The sequence below is a fragment of the Homo sapiens genome, chromosome 5, assembly GCF_000001405.40.
Source record: "Homo sapiens chromosome 5, GRCh38.p14 Primary Assembly".
NCBI lineage: Eukaryota > Metazoa > Chordata > Mammalia > Primates > Hominidae > Homo > Homo sapiens.
Window position 1 is genome coordinate 81,205,844 of NC_000005.10, and position 18,777 is coordinate 81,224,620.

At 43.3% G+C, this 18,777-nt stretch overlaps 1 protein-coding gene and 1 long non-coding RNA gene across 6 annotated transcripts in view, besides 1 other annotated feature; one reads left to right on the forward strand and one right to left on the reverse strand.

The window, feature by feature from the left end:
- The window catches only part of RASGRF2 (Ras protein specific guanine nucleotide releasing factor 2), a 269,800-nt gene that overhangs the window by 245,481 nt on the left and 5,542 nt on the right, over positions 1-18,777 (forward strand). For all 5 annotated transcript variants that reach the window (NM_006909.3, XM_047417464.1, XM_047417463.1 and 2 more), the window contains 7 exons: positions 1,002-1,062; positions 1,403-1,506; positions 2,511-2,595; positions 6,523-6,720; positions 10,033-10,112; positions 11,513-11,630; positions 13,867-13,935. In NM_006909.3, the coding sequence (NP_008840.1) occupies positions 1,002-1,062; positions 1,403-1,506; positions 2,511-2,595; positions 6,523-6,720; positions 10,033-10,112; positions 11,513-11,630; positions 13,867-13,935 (715 nt within the window). The remainder of the gene's footprint in view (positions 1-1,001; positions 1,063-1,402; positions 1,507-2,510; positions 2,596-6,522; positions 6,721-10,032; positions 10,113-11,512; positions 11,631-13,866; positions 13,936-18,777) is intronic.
- Positions 368-5,095, reverse strand: LOC124901017 (uncharacterized). The gene is made up of 2 exons (XR_007058842.1): positions 4,216-5,095; positions 368-3,567 (listed from the first exon to the last, which is right to left on the reverse strand). It is a non-coding gene; the product is annotated as an uncharacterized LOC124901017 (long non-coding RNA).
- Positions 6,695-6,754: an enhancer, noted in NCBI's record as "active region_22730". NCBI's record gives its function as "activates an Ori minimal core promoter by ATAC-STARR-seq in GM12878 lymphoblastoid cells {active_cell/tissue: GM12878}" and the evidence as "EXISTENCE:reporter gene assay evidence [ECO:0000049][PMID:35858748]".

The following is an 18,777-nucleotide window of genomic DNA, read 5'->3' on the forward strand; positions in this document are numbered from 1 at the left end:
TGGTTCACGCCATTCTCCTGCCTCAGCCTCCCGAGTAGCTGGGACTACAAGTGCCCGCCACCTGCCCAGCTAATTTTTTGTATTTTTAGTAGAGGCAGGGTTTCACCGTGTTAGCCAGGATGGTCTCGATCTCCTGACCTCATGATCTGCCCTCCTACTATTTTAATGCTTTGAGTATGTGCTTGTGCCTTCCTTTTGGAAAACATAAAATGCCTGGCTCCAATGGCAAATTATGTAATTGGATGCCTACTGGACTCCAGTTTTCCTGGACTCTGAACGTCTGTTGCACAAAAATACCCTCTACTCTGAAACCAGTATTTAAGGTATTAACTTGTGTTTATTCATTCACTCATTCATTCATTCATCATTTATTTTTTTAAAAGATATTTATTGAGAGCTGAATAACATGTATGAGATTCAGGGCCAAAAGTGTCTGAGGAAAGTCCATCTGGAATGCAAGGGGGAAGAAGCTATCTGCTGGCTCCTGCCTGGCATTGTTCAGAGTCTTGCCACATAGGAACCCCCTGTGCTTCTGGTCTACGTAAGCTTGAGAAAGGGGTGGCCCTGCGTCTCCTGCCTCTGTGAGGGCAGGGAAAGCCCACGGTAGGGGATAGAGGTGTGGGGAGGAGGGCACTCAGGCCTAGGAGTCCAACTGGCTGATAGCATTAGAGGATGCTCCATTTTACATTATGGATGGTAACTCAGAGCTCACCCAGCTCACCCTCAGACTCACTGTGACGGTGGTTGTTTCATTTACAACCTTGTATGTAACAGGTTGCCTTTTTGTTCTAAATCAGCTGTCCTGATGATTCTCTCATGCCTTGAGCATGTTTTCTGTTTGGGGATTGCTCATCTCCAGCTCAGCAGTTGGTTGTGCTGCATGGCCTTGTAGACCCAAATCCTCAGACCTCCCATCCAGGGAAAACCAAACTGCATTTGTAGTTTTGTTCCTAGGTTGTCTATTTTTTCTTTCATGGAGGATAATTTGATATCTTTTTCAGGGCCCTTTCACAAGATGACCAAGATGACATCCACCTAAAATTAGAGGATATAATTCAAATGGTAAGTCTGACCACATTTTTATCTAGCACAACTATGTGCAAACTACCTCTCCAAGGCGAGCAATATGCTTGTAACCGATCAAGGAGTGTTGTAGTATTAGGCCCTCTGTCCTATCTGTGAAGCTCTGTGAGATGAACCACATTTGGTGTGGGGTCTAGCAGTTGGTCTAAGATATTCATGTTGGCTTTGATACTTTTAGCTTTCTGCCATTTTTTTCATAGTTAGAATTTAGTGGTGAACTTCATGCTTCCACACATGCAGCTGTCTGCCTCACTGACCTGCAATGAGATGGCAGGCGCCCTCTCCTGGGTGTTTCATTTCCCTCCCTCATCTCTTGCAGACTGACTGCATGAAGGCCGAATGCTTTGAGTCCTTGTCGGCCATGGAGCTGGCAGAACAGATCACCCTCCTGGACCATGTCATTTTCAGAAGCATTCCCTACGAGTGAGTGCCACCCCCCACAGCAGCAGGGCTCGGCTGCTCTAGCTGTCTTAGAAGTTGACATTATTCCTAAGGCAGGTTGTGTGTATGTCTGTCCCCTCAGTTCCTGTGTGAGTATCTACCAGTTGTTTCCATCCATGGAACTGGCACGCCTCTGTGTCCAGCACTCTGCAGGATGGGAGCAGGACCAACAACAGCAAGGGACAAAGAACCCTGCCCAGGGACTTAGTCAACCTGAGTATCAGAGTAATTTCGAGTGTTTTTAATGACTATACAAAATAATTCCTGTATGCTGCATCTCACTTGTCCCTTGTTTCTTGCTGTGTCTGGTGACCTGCTCAGGAATGAAGTGAATGATCAGGAATGCTGCCCTGAAGACAGCCCATCTGACCAGGTGGAGCTTCTGCCCCGCTGAACTGCCTGGTCAGGGCAACATGCGGTACAAGCCTAAAAGGAGCGCTTTTCAGCCCTGACCACCTGCGCCCTCCTGAGCGCTGGGGAGAACAAAACGCAATCCCTGCCTTTGAAATCTGCATCCTCCAGGAGAATGGCAGGCAGCGCAGAGTGGAGGGAGAAAATTCTGCTTCTGACTAACATTTTTGGTAGTGATGAAATTTTTGGACCCTCTGCTAAGGCTTAATGTTTTTAAAAGCTAATCCTGGGAAAATAGTCTTGATTTCTAAGGTAGTACTTAACCTCTTTATTTCCCTTGTGTTGGTTCTTGTTTTCCAACTTCAGAGAAGGCTTTATAGGATCCTAATAGGGACACAGTTCCAAACATTTATAAGAGAAAGCTGGAAGCTGAAGAATCTTCCTTTTTGGCATTGAGAGGTAAACTGCAACAGCCGAGGTAAAATTCACTTGTGAGGCTGGCAGCAGCAGGTGTCAGGAACCATTCTAGGCCATGTCAAATGGAATTTTTCTAATATTCGTGACAACTGTCCAGGATCATAGCCACCATATTTTTAAAAACTTAATTGGTTTTGTGTTTTGTTTTGAACTTCCAGGGAGTTTCTTGGGCAGGGGTGGATGAAGCTGGATAAAAACGAAAGAACTCCTTACATTATGAAAACCAGCCAACACTTCAATGACGTGAGTAACCGTAACAGTAAAACCGTGGGCGTGTCACAAGAAGATGGATATTGGGGTCTAAAGACTCCTCTAAAACAAAGCAACTCTGTCACCCACTTTTTTTTTTTTTTTTTTTTTTTTTTTTTTTTTTTGAGACAGAGTCTCGCTCTGTCGCCCAGGCTGGAGTGCAATGGCGTGATCTCAGCTCACTGCAACCTCCACCTCCCTGGTTCAAGCAATTCCCCTGCCTCAGCCTCCCGAGTAGCTGGGATTACAGGTGCATGCCATCATGCCTGGCTAATATTTTTGTATTTTTAGTAAAGGGGTTTCACCATGTCGGCCAGACTGGTCTCGAACTCCTGACCTCAGGCAATCTGCCTGCCTCAGCCTCCCAAAGTGTTGGGATTACAGGCGTGAGCCACCGCACCTGGCCTGCCACCCACTTTTAAACAGAATTGATGGGATATTGACGACAAGCTTAAATCTCTAAGAGCTCACAGTAATGTAATAATGTCCAATTAACTTCCTGACATAAAAGGTTCACCTTTGATGGTACCCAGTGCTCAATAATGTACAGGTTGCTGATCCTATTTTTATCATGATTATCACTACTTCCTGTTCATATATTGACTAACAGAGTGAGCAGTACATGTGTCACTGGCCCCTGGTGGTGTTGGTCACGGTAAGGCTGGGTTGGTGCAAGTCCTCATCATTACTGAACGTTCAGCCTGAATTACATTCCAGGGTTGGAAGGGGCCTCTTGGAGCATAATCACATTGTTGCTATAGTTCTGTGCAGCAGTGGCCAGCTGTCAGTCCATCTTACAGCTCTGCTTTTCCCCAGCGGTAAGATTGGGAGATGCTTTTATACCTCCCCGCTCTTCCTTAGTGCTGTTCTCATAGTCTTAGTCCTGTGGTAGAACAAGTAACAGGTGTGGGAGTGTCTTCTGGCCTATCCAGGCAACGGGAAGCCTCCCCTTCCAGTTTCACTAAACTATAGTAAAAGGAATAACGATTTTAAAAACAACAACAACAAACTACCAGGAACCCCATAGGTAAATTAATAAGTGATCTAGAATCAAAATGCAAAAATGACAGTTTAGATTCCCAAGACAGTGTTTCATGCAGGCTTTCCCCAAAGCACGTGGATGCTGTGTGAATGCTACCACACAATGAGCTTCAGTGCCGCTGCTGCCTAAAGGACAAGGGCATGGCCCATCTAGTGCCTGCCCTGAGAAACAGATTCCCTGCTGTGGGAAGCAAACCTCTGTTACCTGTGGTGAACCAACACAGGGGATATAATGGACACTCAAAGAGAGGTTCGATCCCAGGCTCCAGACCCACATGTCTCCTCTGCTGGGACGACTGCTACATTGCATTCTTGACAATTACAGATGGAACCTTTCATCTGCACCCCAGAGCCGCCAAGCCTGCTTCTTCATTGTCCTCTCTGTTCTCAGTCTTGGGTAGTGGCCTCACCATACACTCACTCACCCAAGCACAGGATCTAGACGTCATCTTCTCCCTTACCAGCTCACCCTTACCACTGCCCAACATATTTGCAAACTCTAAATCTACATATATCTCAGGCTCTTCCCCACCCTGCCTTCCCCGCTGCCACCACCTTGATGTGGCCTTTTACCTTGTCTCTCCAGGAGCTCCTGACTCATCTCTCCCCTGCAACCTCACTGCCCTCCAATCCATCTGTTAGGTTCAGAGTCAGGTTCCAGCCCATGCTGAGGTCTGAGGGGAGTGGGTGGATGCCTGAAAGAACACGTAGGGGGCCGTAGGTAGGTGAAAGATGATTTTGTTCAGCGGGCGCTCTCATCAGCAGCTGTCTCATTAGCAGCTCTTTCATCAGCAGCTCTCTTACGCTGTCTCTTCTGTCTCAGCTGCTTGAGCCAGTCGCTCCCGCGCACAGCTGTGTGGCCAGCTCTCACTTGCCTTCAGGGTCAGCAGCTTAACTCTTTCTCTGGGCATGAGCTCCTGTACAGTGTCAACAGGGCAATTATACCTTTTACAGACAATAGTGGCTTAGAGCCAAGTGATGGCCTTCCGTGTTATGGCTACATGGCTGTGATCACAAGTGGAGTTATACACCTGTGCTCTAAACTCACTGAGTCCCTCTGGCCCGGATGTCCACCTTGGCCTATCCTAGACCAAAGCACAGCCATGTACCTTAAACCATCCTGCATGCAGTGGCACAGGAATGACTTCTCTGAAAGGTCAATCTAATTATCTACCTCCCTTTGACAAAAATCTGTCAGTGGCTTCCCCTTACCTTAGGGATATGGTCCCAACCTGTCATACAAGAGCACAGCCCATCTGTCACCCTTGCCTCTCCCAGTCCTTGTGCCCCTCAGATGGCTGCCAGGTCCTCCATTACACCATCCCTCCCACCTCTGTCCCCTTGCTCTCATACTTAGATCCTTTAAGACTCAATGCAAGGCTGGAGACTGTAGCTCACACCTGTAATCCCAGCACTTTGGGAGGCCGAGCTGGGAGGATTGCTTTAGCCCAGGAGTTCAAGACCAGCCTGGGCAACATAGTGAGACCCTGTCTTTATAAATACAAAAAATTAGCCAGGCATGGTAGTGCACACCTGTGGTCCCAGCTACTTGGGAGGCTGAGGTGAGAGGATCGCTTGAGCCCTGGACATCGAGGCTCCGGTGAGCTGTAATCATGCCACTGTATTCCACCTGGGGCAATAGAGCAAGATCCTGTCTCCAGAAAAAAAAAAAAAAAAGACTCAGTGCAGGCGTGACCTCTTCCTAGAAGCCTCCTCTGTACTAGACCAGATGCCCCATGCTGCCTGTGTATTCCCAAACCCCACCGTGAATAGACTCAACTTTGTGTTTCGCTGCATGGCATTTACCTGTTTATGTATCTGCGACCCTCCCCTTCCCACCTACCTAGGCTCAGATTGCCTTAAGGTCAGGGATGGATTTATTTGTCTTTCTGTTCCCAGCACCTAAAAGAATCTATTCTATCCCATTTCCTCAATAGTTATTGGCAAGAACTTCTTCATCGAAATTACTGATTAACAAAACCACTTCTTCCCAGGACAAACTGGATTCCAAATAATTCCTCTCCTCACGCTAAGGATGCGCAGGCACTCAGTGAACAGCACTGCAGTAGGTGCTTTAGCGAATTTCCACAGTGATGGTGTTGAGGCACTATGAGATCTTAAGTGTCTTCAGAATCATCAAAGAATGGGTGAATCCATCAGACTTGGTGTATGGATATAAGATTACACGCCCTATATTCCCTTTGTTAATACGGTAATCTCATTTCACTTTTTTTTTCCTCTCCATATTACAAGAGCTGAGCTTCTTAAACTGGCTTTAAGTAATAAAATTACGGTACTTAGCCTCAAAACTATAGGTCCTTTTAACTGCTGGTGAAGAATAAGATGAAGAAAATGTTCTTTTCCTTGCAGCCAAGTGATTCTGGTTTGAGAGTTAATCAGCTCAGAATTTGATCTAACTGGGGGCAAGTGTTTTTTTCTTTCTCTGTGATAACTGTGGCTTCTCAGAGTGAGTAATCACACACTGTTGGGGGCCAAGGAGTAAAGGGAAAGGCCCCAGGGAGTGACATCCATGATCTACAGACATTGCCTTTCCGCAGGCGTTAGGTTATTCTGTCCCATTTCCTCAGTAATTATTAGAAATGACACCATCAAAATTGCTGAGGAACAAAATCATCTCTTCCCTCAACAAGCGGGAATCCAGATAACCCCTGTGTTCACTCAAAGGACAAACAGATGCTCATTAGTTTATTCTTATAGACTTTAGTCTCTTTAGAAAGTTGGTATCTAAATGTAGAATATGATCTTCAAGCTACTCAACACCCTGCCTTCCTGACAGGTCTGCAGATAATTTACATATTTTGCCTAAATGCACTGCTTGGGGCTCTTAGACTGCCTTTCGGGGCTTTTTGATTGTCTCAGATGAGTAACCTGGTGGCCTCCCAGATAATGAACTATGCTGATGTCAGCTCCCGTGCCAACGCCATCGAGAAATGGGTGGCAGTGGCGGACATCTGCCGATGCCTGCACAACTACAACGGCGTGCTGGAGATCACCTCGGCCTTAAACAGAAGTGCCATCTACAGGCTGAAGAAAACCTGGGCCAAGGTCTCTAAGCAGGTGAGCCTCAGCGTGTGACACAGCCTGCTGCTAAGAGGAGGAGAGGCTGGGAGATGGGAGCCAAGTTAAATATTACTAATTAGGAAATCATTAACTGAAATGAGCCGCTCAGTTGCCAAAGAAAGGTGCCAACATGGGTAATTACAGGGCTCTTACCACTTAATTGATTTCATTCATGTGCATTTCTAAAACATTCATTAAAGCATTTTGGGGGACAGCCACAAACAATGTGGTTGTCAGTCAAGAGTTGTTTCCTGAATTATTTCGGAGGGTACATTGATTTTGAGCAAGCACACTTATGTCCAGTGGGTCCATTCTTTCTCTCCCAGAGTGAGGGTGCAAACTCTGTGGGGCCAAAAGCCAGGGACAAAAGGCCTCATTTTTCACCTTTCTCTTGCTCATTCCTGTAGTAGATGTAAAGTTTTGGCATAATAATTTAGATGTGCAGAAATACAATTTTCATTTTCTTTCATTAATCTCAGCTTGCCTATGCCTGTCATTTTCACTCAGATAATTTCAAGATTCAAACTAAATCATGATTCTTCCCCTGCCCTTTCTCCTGGCCTTCTCCCTGGGTGTTGGGTGCCTTGGAGGGCATCTCTGGGCTTTTGGGCACCTGTCTGCTCCTCTGGCCTCCTGTGGTCATTCTTTGCTGATGATTCATTGGGTACAGGCTGCTGTGAATTGCCTGTACCTGGTGTCACCTGGCCTGCTTGCCCTGCCTGGGAACAATGCATGGTGATTGCACCCAGGGAGCCTGGCTGACCTCGTCTCAGGGGCGAGGGGGAAAGGGCCTCAAAGGGCCTCAGGGGAAGTTTCCAGGCTCTCACGTCCCATTGGTGCCAGAGAATAGAAGGGTCTACATCAGGCCCTCTCTGCCTAACCCTCCCCTGCCTTGCTGTGAACACCCAGAGTTGGTGAGGGGAATCTACAGAGTGCCACCTCCAGGGTCCCAGACCGGAAGATCTAGGTATGTTCTGCTGACATGGCCTAAAAACTGTCTCATTTTATCACCCTACTCTGAGGATTTAAGCCCCTCTCAGAGACACTCATTATTTCTTTTCCATCTTCATTTTGCCCTCCAAGCTTTTCCCTTTAGCATAGGAGAACAATTTAATTTCTCCATGTGGCAGGAAACCAAGCCTAAGTCCTATCTTTTATCTTACCTTTCTCAGAGTAAAAATGCAGTGCTCTGAGAATCCCAAATTTGGCCCCTTAGAACTCAAAAGTCCTCTTTTCTGTCAACAATGGACCTGGTAAATAAAAGCCACAGTTTTTAAAAATACTGGTTAAAAACAAAAAAACAAAAAAACAAACTTTTGTTTTGAGATGATTATAGCTTCACATGCAGTTGTAAGAAATAACGCGGGGATTCCCTGCACCTTACACCCAGTTTCCCCCAACAGCAGCATCTTGCACTACTACAGACAGTATCACAACTAGGAAATGAACATTGGTGCAATCCACCAGTCTTATCCAGATTTCACCAGCTTTCTAGGGATCACCAGCTATCACCAAGGGATCCCTAAATCTTAAAGTTTCCAGGCCCACTCCGTAGTTAAGTGATATTCTTGTCTTTGATAGGATGCTGGTTTAGGAATAACCGAACTGATCATGAAATAGAGATGATGAGACTAATATTGAAATGATTGTTTCAAAATTTGAATATACCATCTGTAGAGGCTCTAAATAAAATATTAGCATTTCAGTCACATTATAGGTCACTCACAGTGGCCTTAGCATGGGCTAGTGGACTGTCCCCCAGAGAGGCTGTCTCTAGAGCCAAGCGCCTTACTCCAGTCATGGTAGGTAGGGCCTGGTTGCAGATATACCCTGCTTCAGACACCTTTGATGACAACATCCGCTGTACAGCTGTCCCTTCTCTGCATCTGAGATCAGCCGGGGAGTTGTTCAGCAGGCCTGATAATCTGCACTCTGGAACCCACAGACTGGTCTGTTGCTGTAGGACAGGTTGTACTTTTGAAACTTTTTTGAGCAAGGTTAGCCCTGGACCAAGCATGCCATCTCTAAGAGCCCTCAGACACCAGAACTGGGAAGACAGCCCTTTGCCTCTCAGGAAGCTGTGCAGCTCCTCTCCAGGTGAGACAAAGTAGTTTGAGGACCCTCAACCTGGGCATTCCAAGTTCTTCTCCAGGCAGGACCTGGATCCTCCATGCCCAGCCACGCTGCCTGGATGTGGGTATTCCCAGGAATGGGTTATCCTCCCCAAGGGCCACCCTACCACTCTCCTATGTTCATGGAAGAAACCCCAGACCAATGTCAACAACAATGTTATTTCTCAGTAATTATCAGTTATACTTCTCTAACAAATGGATGAAGAAGATCACAAAAGAAAAGATCTGTAGTAGAGGACATTGCTTAGTCAATACCAAGGTAACCAAACATGTGCTTTAGTCATTTGGAGATTAACACTCTAAAGGGTTCATCGCAAAAGCTGTCTGACATGAGACCTCTCCTTTAAGATTCTATATTCGGCCTGGTGCAGTGACTCATGCTGTAATCCCCACATTTTGGGAGGCCGAGGCGGGCAGATCACTCGAGGTCAGGAGTTTGAGACCAGCCTGGCCAACATCGTGAAACTCTGTCTCTACTAAAAGTACAAAAGTTAGCCGCATGTGGTGGCATGCGCCTGTAAATTCCACTTGTCAAAAATAATTGACAAGCACATGCTGAATATAGAATCTTTTTTTTTTTTTTTTTTTTTGAGATGGAGTCTCGCTCTGTTGCCCAGGCTGGCATACAGTGGCGCAATCTCGGCTCACTGCAACCTCCGCCTCCCGGGTTCAAGTGATTCTCCTGCCTCAGCCTCCCGAGTAGCTGGGATTACAGGCATATGCCACCATACCCGACTAATTTTTGTACTTTCAATAGAGATGGGGTTTCACCATGTTAGCCAGGATGGTCTCAAACTCCTGGCCTCAGGTGATCAACCCGCCTCAGCCTCCCAAAGTGCTAGGATTCCAGGTGTGACCCACTGCACCCGGCCTACTTGTCAGTTCTTTAAGTGCCTAAGTTTTCTATCCGTTGCAGTGTTTCTTTCCACACATTTTTGCTCTCTTTTTGGCTAAATGTGTAGATACAGGCACTTCCTCTTCTCCATATGTTGTTAACATTAAATGTAAACATAATGCCCTGTCTCTACATCTTAGAATCCTATCACACAATGACCTTTATTCTGGCAAAGGTGTCAGCACCTGTCACCAAAGAAGAGAACTGAACATCTTTTGGCAATTCACTGTCTTTTTAAACCATAGTATTTTCATCACACTAAGTTTTTTCTTTTCTTTTTAGACAAAAGCTCTAATGGACAAACTTCAAAAGACTGTTTCCTCTGAAGGAAGATTTAAAAATCTTAGAGAAACCCTTAAAAAGTATGTCTATCTTAATTATTAAATTATTCATAATTCAGAAATATATTTACATAATGTATATAGTATACAAACAGTGACCTACCACCTACTTTGCTTTGAAAAGAAAAATAAATGGGAAACAACTTGTATCATCTAGGTATTTTTCTGATTGTCCTTATTATTTGGAATACTGTGCATACAGTAATTGTCTTATGGATATACTCATGGCATGCAGATTAAGAATTAAGAAGGTAATACCACCATAATAAATCGGACTATCTTTTACTGTAAAAATGTTCTTGATTCAGTTATTTCCTAATCTAAGCACAATTATTTCCTGTGAGTTTTATTTAAATATTCCAGCACCTGTTGATTATTATTTTTGATCTTTGGTTTCTAGATTATTCCCTTTCTACACACACACACACACACACGCACACACACACACACAAACACACACACACGCAGAGAGAGAGAGAGTTTGAGATTCTCCTGCAACTGGTATTCTCATGATCTACCACATGTACTTTGGAAAAACATGAGTCCTGTGATGGTATGAGTGAAAGCAAGACTAAGACTAATAATAATAATAATAGCAATAATAGCAACAACAGCAATAATAGTATAAGAACTAATTACCAAAGTATTTACTAAATGACAGGTTTCATGCTAAGTGCTTGATGTGTCTTATGTAAGCCTCACAAGAAATTCAAGAGATAAGCTTTTCTATCTCCATTTTACAGAAGAGGAAACTGCAGTTCAGAGAATGTTCCCAGTATCACTTAGTAATTGGTCAAGCTGGGATTTGAACCCAGCTCCTCCCGCATCAAAAGCCCATGTGCTTAGCCTCCGGCCTCTGAGAAGACCAAGTATACCCAGCTCTCTCTAAAAACCAAACAAAACAGTGTCTCACCTTAGTCTGAGTTGTGATGTTAAGTCTACACTTTCTAAAACATTTAAGTACCAACTAAAACAGAAAACAAGTTTTTACCAGTGCAAAGCTCTAACTGCATGGATTTTTCCATCTAGTTCATCAAGGCTGAATACTTGATTTAAAGAGGTAAGACCATAGAGGTTTCCCTCCAAGCTTCTACCCCTCAAAAAAGTGTGGGCAGTTTACAAGTATTGCAAACAATTACTGCTAGCAAATGCTTTGTATTTGTCTCTAAGATATCCTGTTGTTTGAATATGCCATTTTTTTTCAAACACGTAGTAAAGCAGGGGCTGTCATTTTGTATTATATTCTACTGTGAAATGTGTTTAAAATTCTGCGTATTATGAATATGCTTCTGAAACTGAAATAAAAAGGTTTTGCTCTTCAGTACCAAAGGAGGATACTTTAATCCTCCTTTGTTTAATTTGGGGAGGGAAATAGACATTTATTCAAATGAGTCTCAGAACAGTGCCTCTTGGTCTTGCAGTTGTAACCCTCCTGCAGTTCCTTATCTTGGGATGTACTTGACAGACCTGGCATTTATTGAAGAAGGAACACCAAACTTTACTGAGGAAGGCCTTGTCAATTTCTCCAAAATGAGAATGGTAGGTATAATTTCATAATTAGCCTGTTTCAATGGCTTTAGAGGTTTATAGAGAAGAGGCTAAGTAATAAAAGTCAATGTCTGCTTTTTTTTTTTCTCTTCTTTTTTTTTTTTTTTTTTTTTTTGAGAAACAATCTCAGTCTATCGCCCAGGCTGGAGTGCAGTGGCACGATCTCTGCTCACTGCAACCTCTGCCTCTGGGTTCAATCAATTCTCTTGCCTCAGCCTCCTGAATAGCTGGGATTACAGTTGTGTGCCTCATGCCCAGCTAATTTTTTTTTTTTTTTTGAGACAGAGTCTCGCTCTGTGGCCCAGGCTGGAGTGCAGTGGCGCAATCTCGGCTCACTGCAAGCTCCGCCTCCCGGGTTCACGCCATTCTCCTGCCTCAGCCTCCCAAGTAGCTGGGACTACAGGCACCTGCCACCACGCCTGGCTAATTTTTTGTATTTTTAGTAGAGACGGGGTTTCACTGTGTTAGCTAGGATGGTCTGGATCTCCTGACCTCGTGATCTGCCCGCCTGGGACTCCCAAAGTGCTAGGATTACAGGAGTGAGCTACCGCACCTGGCGACCAGCTAATTTTTATATCTTTAGTAGAAAGGGGGTTTCACCATGTTGGCCAGGCTGGTCTCAAACTCCTGACCTCAAGTGATCTGCCTGCCTTGGCCTCCCAAAGTGCTGGGATTACAGGCCCGGCCCAATGTTTGCTTTTTAATCTTGCGGTGGAAGAGGAGGTGGATACTGGGACTAATACCCGATGTGGGCTGATTGAGGAGATTTTTGGTCATGAAATCCTTACTTAAACCAATGTCTAGAAGGGTTTTTCCAATGTTATCTTCTAGAATTTTTATAGTTTCAGGTCTTAGGTTTAAGTCTTTAATCTATCTTGAGTTGATTTTTGTATAAGGTGAGAGGTGAGGATCCAGTTTCACTCTCCTACATATGGCTTGCCAATTATCCGAGCACCATTTGTTGAAAAGGGTGTCCTTTCCCCACCTTACGTTTTTGTTTCTTTTGTTGAAGATTAGTTGGCTGTAAGTATTTGGATTTATTTCTGGGTTCTCTATTCTGTTCCATTGGTCTACATGCCTATTTTTGTACCAGTACCACGCTGTTTTGGTGACTGTGGCCTTATAGTATAGTTTGAAATCAGGTAGTGTGATGTCTCCAGATTTGTTCTTTTTGCTTAGTCTTGCTTTGGCTATGTGGGCTCCTTTTTGGTTCCATATGAGTTTTAGAATTATTTTGTCTAATTCTGTGAAGAATGATGGTGGTATTTTGATGGGAATTGCATTGAATTTGTAGATTGCTTTTGGCAGTATGGTCATTTTCACAATACTGATTCTACCCATCCATGAGCATGGGATGTGTTTCCATTTGTTTGTGTTGTCTATGATTTCTTTCAGCAGTGTTTTGTAATTTTCACCAGTGTTTTGTAGAGGTCTTTCGATTCCTTGGTTAGGTATATTCCTAAGTATTGATTGAGGAGATTTTTGGCAAAGCCATTTCAGCATCCCCAAGGAGATGGGGAATCCAAGGATGGCTTCCTAAGACTGACCAGTGATAGACACTTGCTGAAGGCTTCTTGCTAAACAGCCAGGTTCTTTTTTTTTTTTTTTTTTAAAGACACAGTTCTGTTGCCCAGGCTGGAGTGCAGTGGCCAGTGACATGATCTCGGCTCACTGCAACCTCCACCTTCCGGGTTCAAGCAATTCTTATGCCTCAGCCTCCCAAGTAGCTGGGATTACAAGCCCACGACACCACACCTGGCTAATTTTTGTATTATTAGTAGAGACAGGGTTTCGCTGTGTTGGGGCCAGGCTGGTCTCAAACTCCTGAACTCAATTGATCCACCCACCTCGGCCTCCCAAAGTGCTGGGATTACAGGCATGAGCCACCATGCCCAGCCTGGACAGCCAGGTTCTAAGCACTAAGCTAGAAGCAAGGAGCCCACGGATGACAGCACCCAGAGCTTGCCTCTCCCAAACATGAGGCCACATATTGCCAGCTGTTCCCCAGTTTTGAATTCAGTATCTTTTTGCTTTTGGCATTTCATGTGCCTCCTTGAGAGTCAAGAAAGCACCAACCATAGGGAATGGTCAGGCAGGCTCCACCCGCCTCACTGGAGGAAGGGACTGACCCTTCTGGGAAGAGGCCTCAGAAGAATGTGCTGCAATGCAGGAAATACCTTTCTTTGCTTTTGTTGTTGTCATTTTGTTTTGTTTTTTTCTCTGTTAGATATCACACATCATCAGAGAGATACGCCAGTTCCAGCAGACTTCCTACAGAATAGATCATCAGCCAAAGGTAATATTATGTGGCTGTGAAGAAATTAATAAAGAAAAAAGGGGAAATTAATGAATTAGAAAACAACAGTAAAAGTTGATCCAAAATACCAAAAGCTAGCTCATAGAAAAGACCAGTAAAATAGAAAATCTTTGGCTAGTCTGATTAAAAAAAAAAAAAAAAAGAACATCAATTCATCATCAAGTTCTATTGATTTTACTTCTTATATTTCTTGTGAATCCTCTTCCATTTGTCTTCACTGCCAGAACCCTTGGTCCAAGCTGCCGATATCTGTTGCCTGCTCTACTTGCATTCACTCTAGGATGCAAAATTCATTCTACAAATTACAGCTAGGTAGAGCTTTCTGAAATGCAAAGTGGATTATTTTCTCCCTTACATAAAACATTTTCCTGGCTTCCCGTTGGTCTTAGGATTAAAAAAAATTAAGAATCTTTGACATGACTGTGAAGTCTCGCATTATATGGCCCCTACTTTTTTCTTAAGGTTCAGTTCACATCATATACCGCCTTACTGTCTCCATCCTAGTCACAAATGGTCTTTTACCCCATTTTTTAATAGACTTTACTTTTTTAGAATAGTTTTAGCTTCACAGAAAAACTGAGAAGGTAGTAGAGAAAATTCCCATATACCTCACAGCCAATGTCCCTATTATTATCTTACATTAGTATGATGTGTTTGTTTGACTTAATGAGCCCATATTGATACATTACTTTATTATTATTTTGAGATGGAGTCTCGCTCTGTCGCCCAGCCTGGAGTGCAGTGGCACGATCTTGGCTCACTACAAGCTCCACCTCCCGGGTTCATGCCATTCTCCTGCCTCAGCCTCCTGAGTAGCCCGCCACCACGCCTGGCTAGTTTTTTGTATTTTAGTAGAGACGGGGTTTCACCATGTTAGCCAGGATGGTCTTGAACTCCTGACCTCATGATCCTCCCGCCTCTGCCTCCCAAAGTGCTGGGATTACAGGTGTGAGCCACTGCTCTCAGCCAATACCTTATTATTAACTGAAGACCATCATTTATTCAGATTTCCTTATTTTTTACCTAATATCCTCTTTCTGCTCCAGGATCCCATCCAGGACACCACATGTCATTTAATTGTCAAAATTCTTTAGGCTCCTCTTGGTTGTGGTGGTTTCTTAGACTTTCCTTAATTTGGGTGGCCTTGACTGTTTTGAGGAGTAGAGGTCAGGTATTTTGCAGGATGGCCCACTGTGGAAATCTGTCAGATGTTTACTCAGGGTTAGCCTGGGGTTATGGGTTATTGGAAGGAAGACCCCAGAGGTGAAGTGCCATTTTCATCACATCATATCAGGGGTTATATTATCAACCTAATTTCTGACTGTTGATGTTAGCTTGAATCGCCTGGCTAAGGTAGTGTTTGCTGGGTGTCTCCACTGTAAAGTTATTCTTTTTCCTTCCTTCCTCATCCTGTATTCTTGGGAAGGAAGTCACTATGAACACCCCACACCTAAGGAATGGAGAATTATGCCTGCCTCTCCTTGAGAGCGAAATATCTACATAAATTACTTGGAATTCTTCTGCTCAAGAGATTTGTTTCTTCTCCATTTATTAATTTATTCAATCATTTATTTATATCAGTATGGACTAATGGATTTGATACTTAGGGTTGTCATCCAATAATGTTTTATTCTATTGCTGAAACTGTTCCAAGCTTGGCCATCGGGTGCTCTTTCAGTTGACCTCTTTGTCATACCCCAATCCATGTAGGGTTTTCTCTTTTTCTTTTTTGAGGACTTTCTTACTTTCTGATAGTATAAGATGCTCCAGGCCAGGTGCGGTGGCTCACACCTATAATCTTAGCACTTGGGGAGGCCAAGGCAAGAGAATCACTTGAGCCCAGGAGTTTGAGCCCAGCCTGGGCAACATAGTGAGACCCTGTCTCTACAAAAAGTGGCCGGGCGCCTTGGCTCACAGCTGTAATCCCAGCACTTTGGGAGTCCAAGGCAGCCGGATTACCTGAGGTCAGGAGTTCAAGACCAGCCTGGCCAACATGGTGAAACCCCATCTCTACCAAAACTACAAAAATTATCCAGGCATGGTGGCGGGCAGCTGTAATCCCAGCTACCTGGGAGGCTGAGGCAGGAGAATCTCTTGAAACCAGGAGGCAAAGTTTGCAGTGAGCCAAGATTGTGCCATTGCACTCCAGCCTATGCACTCCAGCCTGGGCAACAGAGCAACACGCTGACTCTGGAGGGGGAGAAAAAAGATGCTCTAGACTCATCTTTTATATTTTGCCCCCGTCCTAGTTTCAGATATTTCTGCCAAAAGCTCTAGTTCCTTTTTTTGGAGAATGGTTTCAGCAACCAAGATATGGGCTTTAGATATGCTTGCGTTATGGAGGTATCAGCTGACAGAGCATAGGAATCTATGTGTGTATAGATTTTATACACATCTATTTATAAATATATCTCTATGTAACCATCAGTATTTGTATTAAGCTAAATATACTGATGCCCCCAACTCTATTCTATTACCATGTGAATCATTCCAGCCCTCTCCCCACATTTGCTTATCTGTAAATTCCCTCTCCAACAGTGAGAGACACACTTTCTTTTAATAGCCCCTAGGTTTTGCCCTATTTCTGTCTGCCACAAGGCCTTTACCTATGTTCTTCCTTCTGTCTGGAGTGCCCTTTCTTCCTCATTGCACAGTTTACTTGTACACAGCTTAAGTATCACTTAGGAAGACTTTCCTAACTTTCCCAATCCCCACTCCACTCTTAAGGTTGTATTGCACCATGTAAGTCTCCTTTCTAGCACTTACTGCTGGAGTCACCATTTTACATTTATTTGTGTGATTATGTGCACATGCATGATATCCATGAAGTTCAGAGCTGGACCTACTGTGTTTATTGTCATAGCCCCAGCATCTTGCACAGTGCCTGGACCATAGTAGATAATAAATGTTTCTTGAATTAGTTAATTCAAGTCAGGAAAAAGACAAGGTTGTGACCATCACTGCTACTATTCAGATTTGAACAGGAAAAAATTCACCACGGCAATGAAGCAATAAAAAGCAAAAGGTATAAAAATTGGAAAGGTAAAGATTAAATACTATAATTCACAGACGATTTGATTTAGAAAATCCAAGAGAAAAATCTAAGAAAAACTGATAAATTACTAAAGGAGTATAGCAACTTGACATGCAAAAGCCAATTTTCAACACATTGGCAATAAGCAATTCAAATGTAATATAAAAAACCTCAATCAAAATAGCAACAAAATCTGTAATGACTAGGATTAAGTGGAACAGGAAATATGTAAGACCTTTATGTACTGAAGTACGTAAGGAGAAAGTTGTATCATATTCATGGATCAAAACACTTACTATTGTAAAGAGGTCCATTGTCCTCAAATTAATCTATAAATTCATTGAAATCCTGGTCAAAATCCCAACAGGTTTTTCATGGAACTTGACAAACTTATCTTGAAACTCTTAGGGAGGCATAGATAGGCAAAAAACAGACAAGAACTTTTTGGTAAATAAGAATAGTAAAGGAGAGTGTTCCCTACCAGTTATGGCCACATCCTAAAGTGAGAGTAAATAAGGCAGGACTCAGCCGGGCGCGGTGGCTCACGCCTGTAATCCCAGCACTTTGGGAGGCCGAGGCGGGCGGATCACAAGGTCAGGAGATCAAGACCATCCTGGCGAACACGGTGAAACCCTGTCTCTACTAAAAATACAAAAAATTAGCCGGGCGTGGTGGCTGGCGCCTATAGACCCAGCTACTTGGGAGGCTGAGACAGGAGGATGGCGTGAACCCGGGAGGCGGAGCTTGCAGTGAGCCAAGATTGCGCCACTGCACTCCAGCCTGGGCGACAGAGCGAGACTCCGTCTCAGAAAAAAAAAAAAAATTCAGGACTCTACTGGCACAGCAGTGCAAATCCAGTAGGGCAGAAGAAAGTCCATGTGTGTGTTTAGTCTACCTGAAAATCTAATACGAGATAAAGAAGGCACTCAAAGAAAGTGCCAGAAAGAAACTGACCATTCAATAAATAGAACAGGAATTTTGGCTCTCCATCTTACCATTCACAAAAATAAATTCCAGATGAGTTCATTACCTAAGTTTAAAAAGTATTTATATTATTTGAATAAAATAAAGGATAAAATATTCATGACCTTTGGATTTGAAAGACCTTCTTAAGCACAGAATGCAAAAGCTGTGAAAGCCAAGCTTGATAAAGTTAATGAAAATTAAGGACTTCTATATGACAGAGGACCATTATTTAAAAATCAAAATATAAGCAGTAGACAATGAGACAACATTTGCAACATATACAACAAAGAAACAGAATAAAAGTGTTTCCATAATCTATAAGAAAAGCATAAACAATTCAACTGGTAAACCTGTGAATAGTTAATTCATAGAAGAAAAAAAATGACCAATAAATATTTTTTAAATGCTCAACTTCACTAGTAAAAAGAGAAAATGTAAATTAGAGTGGGACATCGTTTTCACTTATCGGATTGACAAAAATTTAAAAGATTGATAATATCAAACATTGCTTAGGGTATAGGAAAACAGGTACTGTCATGTACTGTAGGTGCGGAAGCTTTGCAGGTCATTTTCCATCATCATTTAAAATTAAAAATTGGTATATTGAATTACTGGAACTCTTACCATTGTTGGTGAGAATAAAATCGAACAATCACTTTGCAAAACTGTGCCATTTAGAAGTTTCTTAAAATGTTAAATGAGCACTTATCTTAGGACCTAGCAATTTCTCTCTTAGGTGTTTATCCAAAGGGAAAATGAAAGCATGCTCATTAAAAGCCTTGTATAAAATGTTCATAACATTTCTAAATAATAGCCCCTAT